General features: G+C 33.7%; 1 protein-coding gene across 20 annotated transcripts in view, besides 1 other annotated feature; it reads left to right on the top strand.

Annotated features, from left to right (window-relative positions):
• Positions 1-14209, top strand: part of COL24A1 (collagen type XXIV alpha 1 chain) — a 427752-nt gene that overhangs the window by 95060 nt on the left and 318483 nt on the right. For 18 of the 20 annotated variants that reach the window (NR_146340.2, NR_146342.2, NR_146344.1 and 15 more), the window contains 3 exons: positions 2751-2804; positions 3950-3994; positions 11748-11801. Coding sequence is in view for 13 of the 20 variants with exons in the window: in XM_047417004.1 (XP_047272960.1) it covers positions 2751-2804; positions 3950-3994; positions 11748-11801 (153 nt within the window). In the remaining 7 variants the exon portion in view is untranslated. The remainder of the gene's footprint in view (positions 1-2750; positions 2805-3949; positions 3995-11747; positions 11802-14209) is intronic. The other 2 variants (NR_146341.2, NM_001349955.1) reach the window with 1 other exon arrangement.
• Positions 5073-5242: an enhancer, noted in NCBI's record as "experimental_9414 CRE fragment used in MPRA reporter constructs". NCBI's record gives its function as "activates a minimal promoter by MPRAs in K562 erythroleukemia cells, with activity observed for both the introgressed and non-introgressed 1:86522451 variant alleles {active_cell/tissue: K562}" and the evidence as "EXISTENCE:reporter gene assay evidence [ECO:0000049][PMID:34662402]".

The raw sequence follows: 14209 nt of genomic DNA, 5'->3' as shown, positions 1-14209 counted from the left end.
ACTCAGAATGTGTATTTTAAGTGAGATTAGGGCAGGCTTCCTAATTTTCTGTTCCTGTTTTCTCAAGGGGCTGTTGATATAACTGTATCTCTATTACTCCATCCAATCTGCAGATCTGAGTGAGCCAACTTTTTAAAAAAATCTATCTTTAAATGCAGAGTGAATTAAGTCATGATATTTGTTTTGAGTTTCTTTTGAGTTTCTGTGGTTGTCTCAGTGATTCTAGGGTGTGGTTGGCTCAGAATACGTTTATGCCATATAAAGATTATGCTGAAGTCTTACTTGTTTATTTTGTTTACTGCTGTTCTAGTATAGCAGAACTTAGACATTGAGTGGAATTCTTTTGTGTCTTTCTCTGCATAGCTAAAATGTGTTAGCTAGATCTCTACATGTTGCTTTAACACCCTCTGTGACAATCCATTCGAAATAGGATTTCACTTATGTTCTATAACAGATTGACTTTTTATCGAGGTTAGTTAACTTAATTTGACTAGGAAAGGAATGGAAAAGGGATGGTGGTTTTCATTAGCCAGATAGATAGTGGCCTACAGAATAAAAACAGCCTTTTACATTTGTCTTACTCCTTTCTGTTGGCATACCTAAATATAAGGTTTTGTGAATCTCTAGAATGTGGGCCTATGTGTTTTGGAATTGGATGGGGCATATAGGAAGGTGGTTGTAAATATACTAGAGCAAATCTCATAATTAGAGGACTTTCCTTGGAGTGCTATTGGATGTTTTTTGCACTTCAAACTCACACTAGGGAGACGGGCCTTTGAATGGTGGTCTCTGGAATTAGACTTGCTGATTTAATTCCTGACTTCCTACTTATTAGCTAAGTATCCTCCCATTGGTGACATAAACACCTTATGTCTCATTTTTTCTCATCTCTCATATGGGAATAAAGATATCTATCTTATAGGGTTTTTGAGTAGATTGAATAAGATAATATCTATAAAATACTTGAAATAGTGCCTGGCCCATGATAAGTGCTCAATAAATGTTATAGGAATAAAATATTATGTAAATATATAATATTTAATATCAATAGGGGAACATTTAATACATACATATGGTTTCTGAAATTCATAGGATATAATCTCTCTACATATAGACAAGAATTTCTTCTGTAATCCTCAGAAGGCCATTGTTTATTCACATTCTCTTCAGTTGTCCATTGTCATACTTCTGTGTATCTTAGGTTCTTTAAATGTAGAATGAAGAAAAGTGTATCTCATAGATGTAAAACGCTTAGCAAATAAAAAGTGCTCAGTAAATGTTAATTTTGATCAAGGGAAGGGAAGAGGAAATGAGAGATAGAAATGAGAGGGAAAAAAGTGAGAGATGAATTCTGAAAAAAGTAGAGAGAAGAAACTCAACTATTATCCTCTATTTTTCATTTCCTTGGTCTGTTCTTTCTCTAGATTTTCCAAATTTTTAGAAGTTTTAGCATATCTGTACTTAAAGTGAAGGTAACACTCTTCTATCTACTTCAGAGCAGAAGGACAAAGTGCAATTATCTTCCATTATATCATTTATAAACAAACAGGAAAGAAATTTTAGGTGATAAATAAGAAATCTAGCCAACTTAAACATTGTTGTCATCAGCTCAACACACTTTCTTCTGACATTTCCTTGTGTCAAGAATTATTTAATAGACCCAAACTCTGAATAAACTGATGAGTAAATGAAGGAATGAATGATGTATCAATGAAAAAGAGTCTTTTTTAAAAAAAAAGTTATAATATTTTGTCTCACTTTTTCACCCAGTTCTGTAGCAGTTTTCCTTTCTTAAGCCTTTGGGTCTCCATCTATCAGCCTTCCCTGAGCAAACCTTGTTTTAAATCAAGAATACAGATTGCAAATTCCAAAGGAGTTTACCATCTGTCTAAGTCAGTTTGGGCTGCTATAACAAAAGACCATAGACTGGGTGGCTTATAAACAACAGAAATTTCTCGCAATTCTGGAGGCTGAAAGTCTGAGATCAGCATGCCAGCCCGGTTAGGTTCTGGTGGGGGCTATCTTTTGGATTACAGACTGCTGACTTTTTATTGTATTCTCACATGGCCTCTTTATAAGGTCATTTATCCCATTCATGAGGGCTCCAACCTAATTACCTTCCAAAGAGCCACCTCCTAATGCTGTTAGGCATTATCAGCAGGGTTAGGATTTTAACATGAATTTTGAGGCACACAAACATTCAGTCCACAGCACCATTCAAATTTACTGGATCAGACCCATGTCATGATAACGGTATTTGCCACTTAATATTCATTTACTTAATCAGACTCACTGTAAGGTTAAGTTTACTTTAGGAAAGAAGTAGAGGTTGGTTTTGTGGTTTACTGCCCCTCTTAGTCTTCTGGGGCTCATGCTCAGACTGTTAAGGAGTGTTGTAGGATGATCGAAACAAGAAAGAATTCAATCTACTGGTAAAAAAGTTACTGGTAATTAAGAAATATACCAGCTCTTCCTCTAGAATAAATGTCTGTTTTAGTATGGATTTTTCCATCCTAGATTTATGATTATTAATGATCATATATCATTTAGGGCCCTAATCTAATAGTTTACTGATTTTATTTAGCAATTTTTGTCCATTTTCCTTCACGTAGGTGATTTCAGTTACATAAGCCATGTGTAGGACTCCGTATTTTTATGGGGAAAAATTATTTCCAAGCTTGTGTATTGTAAATATACCAAATTTGTTTCCTTTGGCTTTGCTATACTGTTCATTTTATTTATTATTTCAGGGAATTCCAGGATTTGCTGGTAATATTGGTTCACCCGGTTACCCTGGCAGGCAGGTGCAGTAACTATATTTAGACTTTTCTCTTTGTGTTCCTATTTATTAATACATTGTATTTCTGATTTTGAGAATTAATGTTCAAATAGTTTTTTTATTAAATAATGAATAACTCATAGAGAAATAATTTCAAAATCAAAGTTGTAGAAATCCATTACAATTTTTCTTCAGAAAGTTTTATTTAAAATTGGAAGGGGGATTTTAAATATGTTTGATGTGATGTACAATGGAACCTTCAAAATTAAAATGCACAAGTGTTAATAAGTTCTTAAAACAGTCCTGATTGTGATTTTACAATACTGTCACTGAACAAAATGAAGTAATAGTAAGAGTTAAGACTCTCTGTAATAAACATCATTTTTTAATAACACAGTTATAAAAATTTGAGAAACAGTATACCACTACCAAACACTTTTATCTGAACTGAATTCAGTTATTTGTATACTATTTTTAAAATGCATTCTAATCATTTTAAATGTATTCCCTTATAATTTCTAACTTTCTGTACTTCATGTAGATTAATAATAGAACAAGCTTTCTTTCATAAGTTTTCATGAATTGATTACTTCTAAAATTAATTAAATGTATAAAGTTACATTTATCTTTTTTATTCTCAAGAATGAGGGAAATAAGAAAAAAATTGTTAACAAAATTCCATTTTTTAGGACTTTAAAAACACTTAGAGGTACTCTATATTAGACTCTTACTCTCAAGTGATAATATATGTTATATAATAAATATAAAACATGAATATGTAAATATATGGACATTGATCTAAAGTTTAAAATAAATTTTAAAAAAAATTTATGGGCCTATCTTTTAGAATAAGTTAATTAGAAATGTTTTAAAACAACACAGTCTTCCAATGAGAAATAATGTAATGAAAAAAATTTTAAAAATCTGACAATGTGTTAATGTACTTTATTTATATATCTAAAATATATTGTGTATAGATTATTTCCAGTGCCTCTTTTGATTCAGAAATTCTAAAATTCCTTGAACATTGGTAATCTTCATTAGTTATACAGAGTTCTGAATTCTATAGTTTTGAAAATGATAGCTCTTTATATGGCCTTTTTATTAATCTATTTATTAACTCTTTAAAAAGTACTGTAGTATGATGACAATGTCTTTTGTTTACACCAGGGTTTAGCTGGACCAGAAGGTAATCCAGGTCCTAAAGGTGCACAAGTAAGTAGGCATTTCCATCATTCTGTTAAGCATGCTTGCCTAAAAGTAGAATGAAATATATAAAACACTTAGCATTTTTACACTCTCTTAGTAGCTTTGAATTTAATTCAAATGTAGCCTGAATATACTTGCTTACTGCAGTTGCTTTCACTTCTATGATGACAGAAAACAGTCTCATTGTGGTAGGTTTTGCATCATTATTTTATATTTATTTCCATAGCATAATGTCTGGCATGTTAGAATGTGCTCTGTAAACATTTGTAGTGTTATTTATATATGAATGGATACAGACCTAAGGAAGTCATCATGGAAAAAATATGAAGAGGTAAAGAAATTCATAGTAGTTCAAGGCTGAGATCATTTTATTATACAAAAACTGTCAGGAGTAAAGAAATATCTACAAAGAAAGAAATAACCTTATTGTATCCAGAACATCCCATTTCACTCCCAAACCATTAAAGGAAATGTTAGCCATTTTTATTCACTAAGGAAGCAAAATAAACATTTCTATATTATATTGTATTAGTCACTTTTTGCATCACTATAAATACCTGAGGCTGGGTAATTTATAAAGAGCAGAAGTTTAATTGGCTCATAGTTGTGCAGTCCATGCAGATATGGCTCCAGCATTTGCATCTTGTGAGGGCCTTAGGAAACTTATAGTCACAGCGGAAGGTGAAGGGAGAGCAGACAATGTCACAAGGCGAGAGTGGGAGTAAGAGAGAAAAACGGAAGGTCCCAGACACTTTCAAACAACCAGATCTCATGTGAGTTGAGAACTCACTTGTCACCAAGGAGATGATGCTAAACCATCCACGAGGGATCCGCCCCCCAATCCAGTCACTTCCCACCAGGCCACACCTCCAACATTAGGAATCATATTTTAACATGCGATTTGGAGGGGACAAACATCCAAACCATATCATATATGTAGTGTATAAAATAAAAAATATGTTTTTAAAATTCTTTATTTTTAATAGCCAAATATTTTTCAAAGTCTACATTTGTGCCTTATATTATCTAAAATGCAATATTTTTTGTTGTTGTTGTTTTTGTTTTGTGTTTTTTTTTTTTGGTGAGACAGAGTCTTACTCTGTTGCCCAGGCTGGAGTGCAATGGCACAGTCTAGGCTCACTGCAACCTCTGCCTCCCGGGTCCAAGCGATTCTCCTGCCTCAGCCTTCCAAGTAGCTGGGACTACAGGCACGTGCCACCACACCAGGCTAATTTTTGTATTTTTAGTAGAGACAGGGTTTCACCATGTTGGCCAGGCTGCTCTCAAACCCCTGACCTTGTGATCTGCCTGCCTCAGCCTCTCAAAGTGCTGGGATTACAGGAGTGAGCCACCAGGCCCGGCCTAACATGCCTTTTAAAAAGAAGTAAAGCATAAGGTATTTAAACAATATGTGCAATAATGATGTCTTACATTTTAAAAAAGTATTAAACATTTCCAAATACTTTCATATGTATTTTATTCTTTTATTTTGCCATCAGCCCTGTGATGTAGGAGAACAGGCCTGTCATCCCCATTTTACTGATGAGAAAAATAGTAAGCTAAGGAACTTACTTGATCTGGCAAAGTTATAGCTGGCTAGAACTAGAACCAATGTCTTTTCACCTTTAGCCCTGACCTCTTTTCATGAGCTCATGCTGTCTTTGTTCTTGCATTAAGTAATCACATAATGAGGAAAAGTCATGTACTTTTTATTAGAAATTGCACTGAAAACACATGTTGACTTGGATTTGGGAAGCCAGAAGAGATTAGTGGTCAAGAACATGGGCTGTGGAGTTAGATAGGCTTTTTTTTTTTTTTTGAAACAGAGTCTCACTCTATGGCCCAGGCTGGAGTACAGTGGTGTGATCTCGGCTCACTGCAACCTCCACCTCCCAGGTTCAAGTGATTCTCCTGCCTCAACCTCCTGAGTAGCTGGGACTACAGGCGCCTGCCACCACACCCAGCTAATTTTTGTATTTTTAGTAGAGATGGGGATTCATATTGGCCAGGCTGGTCTCGAACTCCTGACCTTGTGATCTGCCTGCCTCAGCCTCCCAAAGTGCTGGGATTACAGGTGTGAGCCACCGTGCTCAGCCCCTTAATACTTCTTTTACTAGCTTTGTGACTTTTGATGTTATTCAGTCTCTCTGTGCTTCATTTTTCTTATCTCATTATTTATTAAATGGTCATGATGAAACTTACTTTTCAGGTAGTTGTGAAAAATTAAACAAGATGAGCATTCTTAAGGTATAGGGCATAGTGTATGCATGTATTTACTATATAGATTCTATAATTATTATTTGAATTTGAGAGTGTCTTCTGTTCAATAACTAGTAACTCCAAGGAATATATGCAAAATATATTTGGCACTGTACAACTTACTCTTACTGCGTTTTGTCATCTTGCTTCAGTGATCCATATAACTGTGTTCTTCCATGTACCATTTTTGCATTGTATTATACATCCTTTTGTTTTTTCCTTTTCCCATTTGTATTGAAAATTGTTTTCTAGGCTGTAACCCTCTTAAGTTGTACTTTTAGTTAAGTTTTCACACTTTAGTTAGGTTTCACACTTGGGAGTGTGATTGGAATAAGGAGGGAATTTCACATTCATAAAGGGTCTCAAATGTAGATTTAAAAATTATTTGAAATTTAGGGGTATATGTGCAGCTTTGTTACATGGGTATATTGTGTAATGCTGAGGTTTGGGCTTTTAGTGATCCTGTTGTCAAAGCAGTGAACATAGTACCCAATAGGTAGTTTTTCAACCCTTGCCTTTTTCTGGCCCTCCCTCCTTAGGGAATCTATAGTGTTTATTTTTCCTGTCTTTGTGTCCATGTATACCCAATGTTCAGCTCCCATTTATAAGTGAGAACATGCAGTATTTTGTTGTCTGTTTCTGTGTTAATTTGCTTAGGATAATGGCCTCCATCTGCATCCATGTTGCTGCAAAGGATAGGATTTTGTTCATTTTTATGGCACTGTAGTATTCCATGGTCTATATGTACCACATTTTCTTCATGCAGTCCACTGTTGATGAGCACTTGGGTTGATTCCATGTCTTTTCTATGGTGAATAGTACTGCAATAAACATATGAGTGCAGATGTGTTTTTGGTAGAATTATTTATTTTTCTTTGGGTATACACCCAGTAATGAGATTGCTGGGTCAAATGGTAATTCTATTTTTAGTTCTTTGAGAAATTTCCAAACTTCTTTCCACAGGGGCTGAACTAATTTGCATTACCACCAGCAGTGTATAAGTGTTCCCTTTTTCCTGAAACCTCATCAACATCTGTTATTTTCTGACTTTTTAATAATAGCTCTTCTGACTGGTGTGAGATGGTATCCCCTTGTGGTTTTGATTTGAATCTCTCTGATTAGTTACGTTGAGCATTTTTTCATGTTTTGGGGCCGCTTATATGTCTTCTTTTGAGAAGTGTCTATTCATGTCCTTTGTCCACTTTTTAATAAAGTTATTTGTTTTTTTCTTATTGATTTGTTTAAGTTCCTTGTAGATTCTGGATATTAGTCCTTTGTCAGATGCATAGTTTGAAGATATTTTCTCCTGTTCTGTAAGTTGTCTATTTACTCTGTTGATGGTTTCTTTTACTCTGCAGAAGACCTTTAGTTTAATTAGGTTACAATTGCCAAATTTTTTGTTACATTTGTTGCTTTTGAAGATTTAGTCACAAATTCTTTGCCTAGGCCGGTGTCCAGAAGGGTATTTCCTAGGTTTTCTTCTAGGATTATAGTTTGAGGTCTTACATACTAAGTCTTTAATTCATCTTGAGTTAATTTTTATATATTAACTCAGTCAGAGGTAGGAGTCCAATTTCATTCTTCTGCATATGGTTAGCAAGTTTTCCAGCACCATTTATTGAACAGGGTATTCTTTCCCAATTATTTATTTTTGCCGACTTTGTCGAAGATCAGTGGGTAGTAGGGTGCAGCTTTATCAAGTATAGATTTTTAGCATTAACTTAAAATCTAGTTAAAAAGGCAAAAATCATAGAAACACACTCATAGGATACATGTTTTTCACTTAATTTGTGTCCTGTTACTGGTAAATTCTAAATGTTATGCATTGTACATGAATATTTTCATGAATCATGATAAATTAGCTTTTCATTGGCAGTTATTTGTTGGTATTTTTTGGTATTAGCAGAAATATTTTGTCAAATGTAAATGTTTAAAACACATCATAATTTTTAAACCCTTCTTTGGCATTTCCTTATGTAATAATGTGCTAGCTGCCCCCAAAAGTAAAAGTATATAGAACCTCTCCCGACCTTCTGGTGGTCCTGCTGGTGACACAAAATTGCTTCTAACTGGATCTACAACCTTCAAACCAAAAAGCAAAAACATGTGTTATTATTTTTAATGTTCTTTGTTTCATTACACGGTAAACTCTAGTTTCATGGTGGTATTTTGAGAATGACCTCAACTCTGTGGTTTCTTTGGTACTGCTGACATCTTATTTCTGTTAGAATCAGTGTAATGATGATCAAGAAACCTCTATGAAACACCTAAGCAATTACTTATAACATTATTCTATTTAAAATATCTAATTGTAAAATGTTCCCTTTACACTCTGTACAGGCTATGTTGGAGTTCTGACTTCAGTTCTTGAGTTATCAATTGATTATTTAGTTCACTGATAAGTATATACCAGTTAGAGTGTCTTTTCTTTTTATTTATAACCAAAACTCCTGTTGTATATATTAAAACAAATGTTAGCTGACTTTACACTTGAAGTCATCAACAGATGATTCTGAAAATGTACACAGCTTGTCATCATAATCCTAAATGCTCTAGTATCAGAAATACTTTTGTATGATTCACTTTAAAAGAAACATTTCCCATTCTCCAACTGCTTGGCTTTCAAGTAAGAAAATCATAGATGTTTCACTTTATTAAAGTTATGTATAAAGGAACAAATTCTCTCTCTCCCTCTTTTCTTTTAATTTTTGCTTGTTCATACAATCTGTGGAACATAAGGCAATTTCAGGCACCTTTGACAAGGAAAAACACCTAAAAAAGTTTTCAAGATGGATGGTGGCAACTTTTTTAATGGCAATACTTAACTAAATTCTAAGGAAATAAAACCTTCCAAAAGTTTTATTCCAGGCAACTTAGATATGATTCTTGAGACATTTATCTCTTTCTTTTTAAAATAAAGAACATAAAATATATATAACATAAAATTTTTTCCATGTATAAACCCTCTTAAAGTATGTGGTCAGTGGCCTTAAGTACATCCAATTGTTGTACAACCATTGCCACCATCCATCTTAAAAACTTTTTTCATCTTCCCAAACTGAAACTCTGTACCCAATAAACAATTCCCCGTTCTCCACTCCCAGTCCCTGGCAACCACCATTCTACTTTCTGTCTGTATGAATTTGACTACTATAAGTACATCATGCAAGTGGAATCATACACTATCTGTCCTTTTGTGACTGGCTTACTGCACTTAGCGTAATTGTCTTTAAGGTCCATCTATGTTGTGGCAGTTATCAGCATCCTTCTTTTTTAAGGCTGAATAATATTCCATTTCATGTATATACAACATTTTGTTTATTCATTCATCTGTTAATGAACATTTACGTTGCTTCTATCTTTTGATAATTGTGAATAATGCTGGAATGGGTATAGAAATAACAATTACTTTTTTAATGCTTGAATTCTTCAGTATTTGTTATTATGGAAGTATTTACTCTGAAAAATCACCCATTCTGTGATTCAAAATAAGAAACCTTTATTTAGAACTTAGTAAAATTGACCTACTGTATCTCTACTTCAATTTCTTTTAAACTTTGGCTTTTCTCTGCATCCATAAAACTACTCTTCTCTCACACCCCTATTTCACCCTCTGTCTGATCAGTGATAATTTTTCCTAATATTTTCTCCTCAAAGCTTTAGTCTGTCTTTAAGACTTCAGACATATCTGTCCTTCAGACTTTTTTTCTCTATGAGCTTTTTCTATGAACCCCACATCTCCCAACTCCCTGCCATGATAATTACATTTGAATATCTCATTATAATCACAAATTCAAAATAACTAACAAAACTCATCCTCTTTATATCAAACTCAGGTTTTCTATTTGTTTTCCATATTTCTATCAGTGGTTAACATTTGTCTATCAGTCCAGCTGTAAACTTTAGAGTCATCTTTCTCTTGATTCTTATAGACAGATAGAGACCTATGTGACCCACTGTAATCCAAGTGAATTTATAAAGTGAAAATATGATTATATGAAAACTGTGTCTTAAGTTTTTTTAATGACTCACAGTGTAAATTGCAGACTTTCCATCATAACAAAAAAGACTCTTCATGACATGACCCCTTGCCACCCTTTCCAAACTCACCTCTTGCCCACCAATCACACAGACTATTTGCAATTCTTTGCAAATGCTGTGTCATTTCATTCTGATTGATTGACTGATGGCACATTGTTAGCCCTGCCTTTTCTTTTCTTCAGGACTTAGCTCAAATGTTGCTTCCTCAGTAAAGCAAAGCACCATTAATCTTCTCTCTAGGCAAAGTTGGTCATTCTGCTTCCAAAGTTCCCATTGTCTATTTGTCATATCACCTATTGCATAATCATGTAACAATTATCAAATGATGTTACAGTTATTTATTTGTATGACCCTCTTTCCCAATAAACTATGTACTTTTTGAGGGCATTGATTTTCATATGCATCTTTATAAACCCCAAATCTTTATAGACACAAAATGGCTACTAAAATAATGTTTGTTGAACCAGTGATCTGGACCCGTAAACCTTCAAATTTAGACCACTTAAAGAGCCTTCTAACAGGTTGGCCTATATTCAGTGTTTCCTGTCATGGCTGTATGCTGTATCCTATCAACAGATTAATCTTTTAGAAATACAGCATAACATCAGTGCATTACCATACTCCCTAAAATCAGTAGCTTCCATTTGTCTAATATATACAGTCTAAAATTTTTATTCTGAAATTTAAGACTCTCCTTAATCTAGCCCCTAAACTACCATACACTTTATCTGTAAAATTGATGAAATGGGTTATTTCCCACAAGTGAGATATAACTAAGTTACATTAGAATAAAGTGCCTTGCATTGTTATTTATATGTATCCCTTGTTTCTCAGATCAGATTGGAATCTTTATTAAGGCAGGGTGGGTCTTACACATAAAGCTAACATATAAAACCATCTTACACACAAAGTATATTATGTATAAAATGTGATCAATTACTATTTACAAACACTCCCCAATTGTTACCATTAACAAAGACTTCCTATTATGTCTCTATTTACCAAGATTTTACCTATTCTCTAGACCTATCTCAAGTGGTAATCTCCTTTGAAGCCTTCTTTGATTGCCTTTGCCTCCTGCCACATTGAAATGTATCTCTTCCTCCACTGTACTTCTTATACTTATATTCTTATATTCTTTTGATACCTCCATTCTGTCTTAAATTTTAGCTAATCATATACATATATTTTCTGCCCGCTATAAAATTTAGTGAAGGAAATTATTTGGGCTTATTTTTAATAGCCACCATTTCTTAAATTATATTTTGTATAATTTTTAATGGGAAGATTGATCTTTAACTTCTGGAAGAAAAGCAATTAGGTGAGGGGAAGTTATTCGCACTTGTAAGTCTTGTAATTTCGTACTACTACAAATAAAATTTTAAGTACTTCTATTCAGAATCACTTATGGGGAGAATATTCAAATGAACTAATATACAGACTATTTTCTTGTTTTAAGGGTTTTATTGGCTCTCCTGGAGAAGCGGGACAACTGGGACCTGAAGGAGAACGGGTAAGTCCATTCCCTTCAAATAGTATTTCTAAAGTGATATACTTGTGATAATGTACAATGGGGGTCATAAAATCAGATGTCAGGGAAGTAATCTTACTGAGTTAGCAAGCCAGGTTGAAGAAAAATCACCTGCCAGAAATGTAATTTGACTTTTGAAAATCTTACTGAATTTTGTTAAAGGAAAGTAATATAGCATGATAGAAATATAATTGTACTTTAAGTTCAAATTTTTGAAAATACACCAAAATATTAAAATATCTAATTATGAAATTTTTATTTTGTAATTCATTATAATGAATTACAAAAGTATATGTCAAGAGTATAAATTCTTGACAGGTCTTGATTTTGAGAGCAATATACAGTAAAGAATTTAGCCTCAGAAGATATATTTTTGTTTAATTTAATAATGGGAGATAGCTGTTAATAAATATGGGTACTTATAAGTAAAGATAGAACCTTTGCAAAATGGTTTGTTATACTAAAAAGATTAATGAAGTTAATTATGGGAGTTATGGCATTGCAGCTTCATCATATCTAGTTTTCAGTGCTATATGCAATCTGTATGCAGTAATTTATCTTTGTATTCCTTCATTTACATTGCCAGTATTAATTGAAAACAGTAGAATTGAACAATATTAGTAGATTGTCATAGAATTTGAAATTAGAGAGTCATTCAGCCTTCACCCCTATCATTATAAGAATGTAGTTCAGGCCAAAATTTTCATTTCTGGCAAGTGATTTTTGCAAATGAAAGTGAACCAGATTCATTGCTAAATGAATTTTTCAAATAAATAGTTTTCAGTGAGTGAGTTAAATTATATTTTCTTGTAATTACTTGTGAATGCCCCTGCAGAGAAGAAATAATCAAAGAGTTTAAATATGCTGTAATGACAATCAAAATGTCTAGCCATCTTTGGTGAGATGAGGTAAAGATTTTCCCCTGGTGAACATAGCAAGTTGTTTTGTTCAATAGCAAAAAACATCTTAAGCATAATTCCACAACTAAGCCACCTAACCTTCATGTACTACAGCAAACTAACGGAGGATGTATCTCACCGATCACGCAGAGAATTGATCTGCTACTTCTTGACCCAATGGTTCCAGTTTACGTTGTTAATTACTCTGCTGTTCGTGATAACAATCCTTTTCTGATCCTTTGACATGAGCTTATTTCTTGTAAATTATTTAATAAACCAAAATTATATGTCCTTGTAAAATGTTGTCATCTTGGATTTAATGATCTTAAGCCCAGTGTTGACACTGGCCATCAATAGGCACATTGCTGTAATCACACTCACTAATTTTTAGCAGTCTATATGAAAATATCAAGACCTGGCCGGGCACAGTGGCTCACGCCTCTAATCCCAGCACTTTGGGAGGCCGAGGCGGGTGGATCATGAGGTCAGGAGATCAAGACCATCCTGGCTAACACGGTGAAACCCCATCTCTACTAAAAATACAAAAAATTAGCCGGGCCTGGTGGTGGGCGCCTGTAGTCCCAACTACTTGGGAGGCTGAGGCAGGAGAATGGCATGAGCCTGGGAGGTGGAGCTTGCAGTGAGCCGAGATTGCACCACTGCACTCCAGCCTGGGCAACAGAGCAAGACTCCATCTCAAAAAAAAAAAAAATCAAGACCTGTCTTAACATATAAATACACAAGATCAGTTTGTGATATTGGGCCCCTCACGGGTACTGTGTCCTAATATTATTTGGCTATGTCAAAATTTTCATTAAAACTGTGAATGATGTAGCTAAAAGGGTGTTACGTTATAAAATGTTTAAGTACAAAAAAGCAGAAGAAAATAAGATAGAGTAATGCTAACTATTGCTGAAAACAAATGGAAAGAAGTCATTTCTGGGAGTCAATATTGTACATTACATGCATATTGTGTGTATACACATATGTACACATATGAAACATGTACACATATATACATGTATATATATGAAAAATGCTTATATAATTCTGTCTGCATTATTTGGCTTCTTGATGAGATTTAGGGAGGCTACTGAAAATTTAGGAAATAATTATTCTATTTTTTTAAAAAAGATTGTTTGTATTATGTAAATATACATAAAGTCTTAATGAAATGAGTCCTCTTGCTCACCTATGAACTCTTTTTTGATGATCAGATACATGAGTATTTTTTAAACACTGTTGACTTGAAAGTGAATGGATTGTTTCAGCCAGTGATGTCTTCTAACTTACCTGTATGTACTATTAATCTCAAGCTACATGGTTGTGACAGACTGCTTAGTCTGCAAATCTCAAAGTGATAGTATCAAGTAAGATGCTTTAATCTGCAAGTAACAGAAAACCACAATTCAAACTGGCTTAAATATAAAGATATTTTTAATGATGATGATGAAAATAGCAAATGATTTACTGAATGGTTTTATATATGTA

This window comes from Homo sapiens, chromosome 1 (assembly GCF_000001405.40).
Source record: "Homo sapiens chromosome 1, GRCh38.p14 Primary Assembly".
NCBI lineage: Eukaryota > Metazoa > Chordata > Mammalia > Primates > Hominidae > Homo > Homo sapiens.
This window is presented reverse-complemented; position numbering and strand designations above follow the sequence as displayed.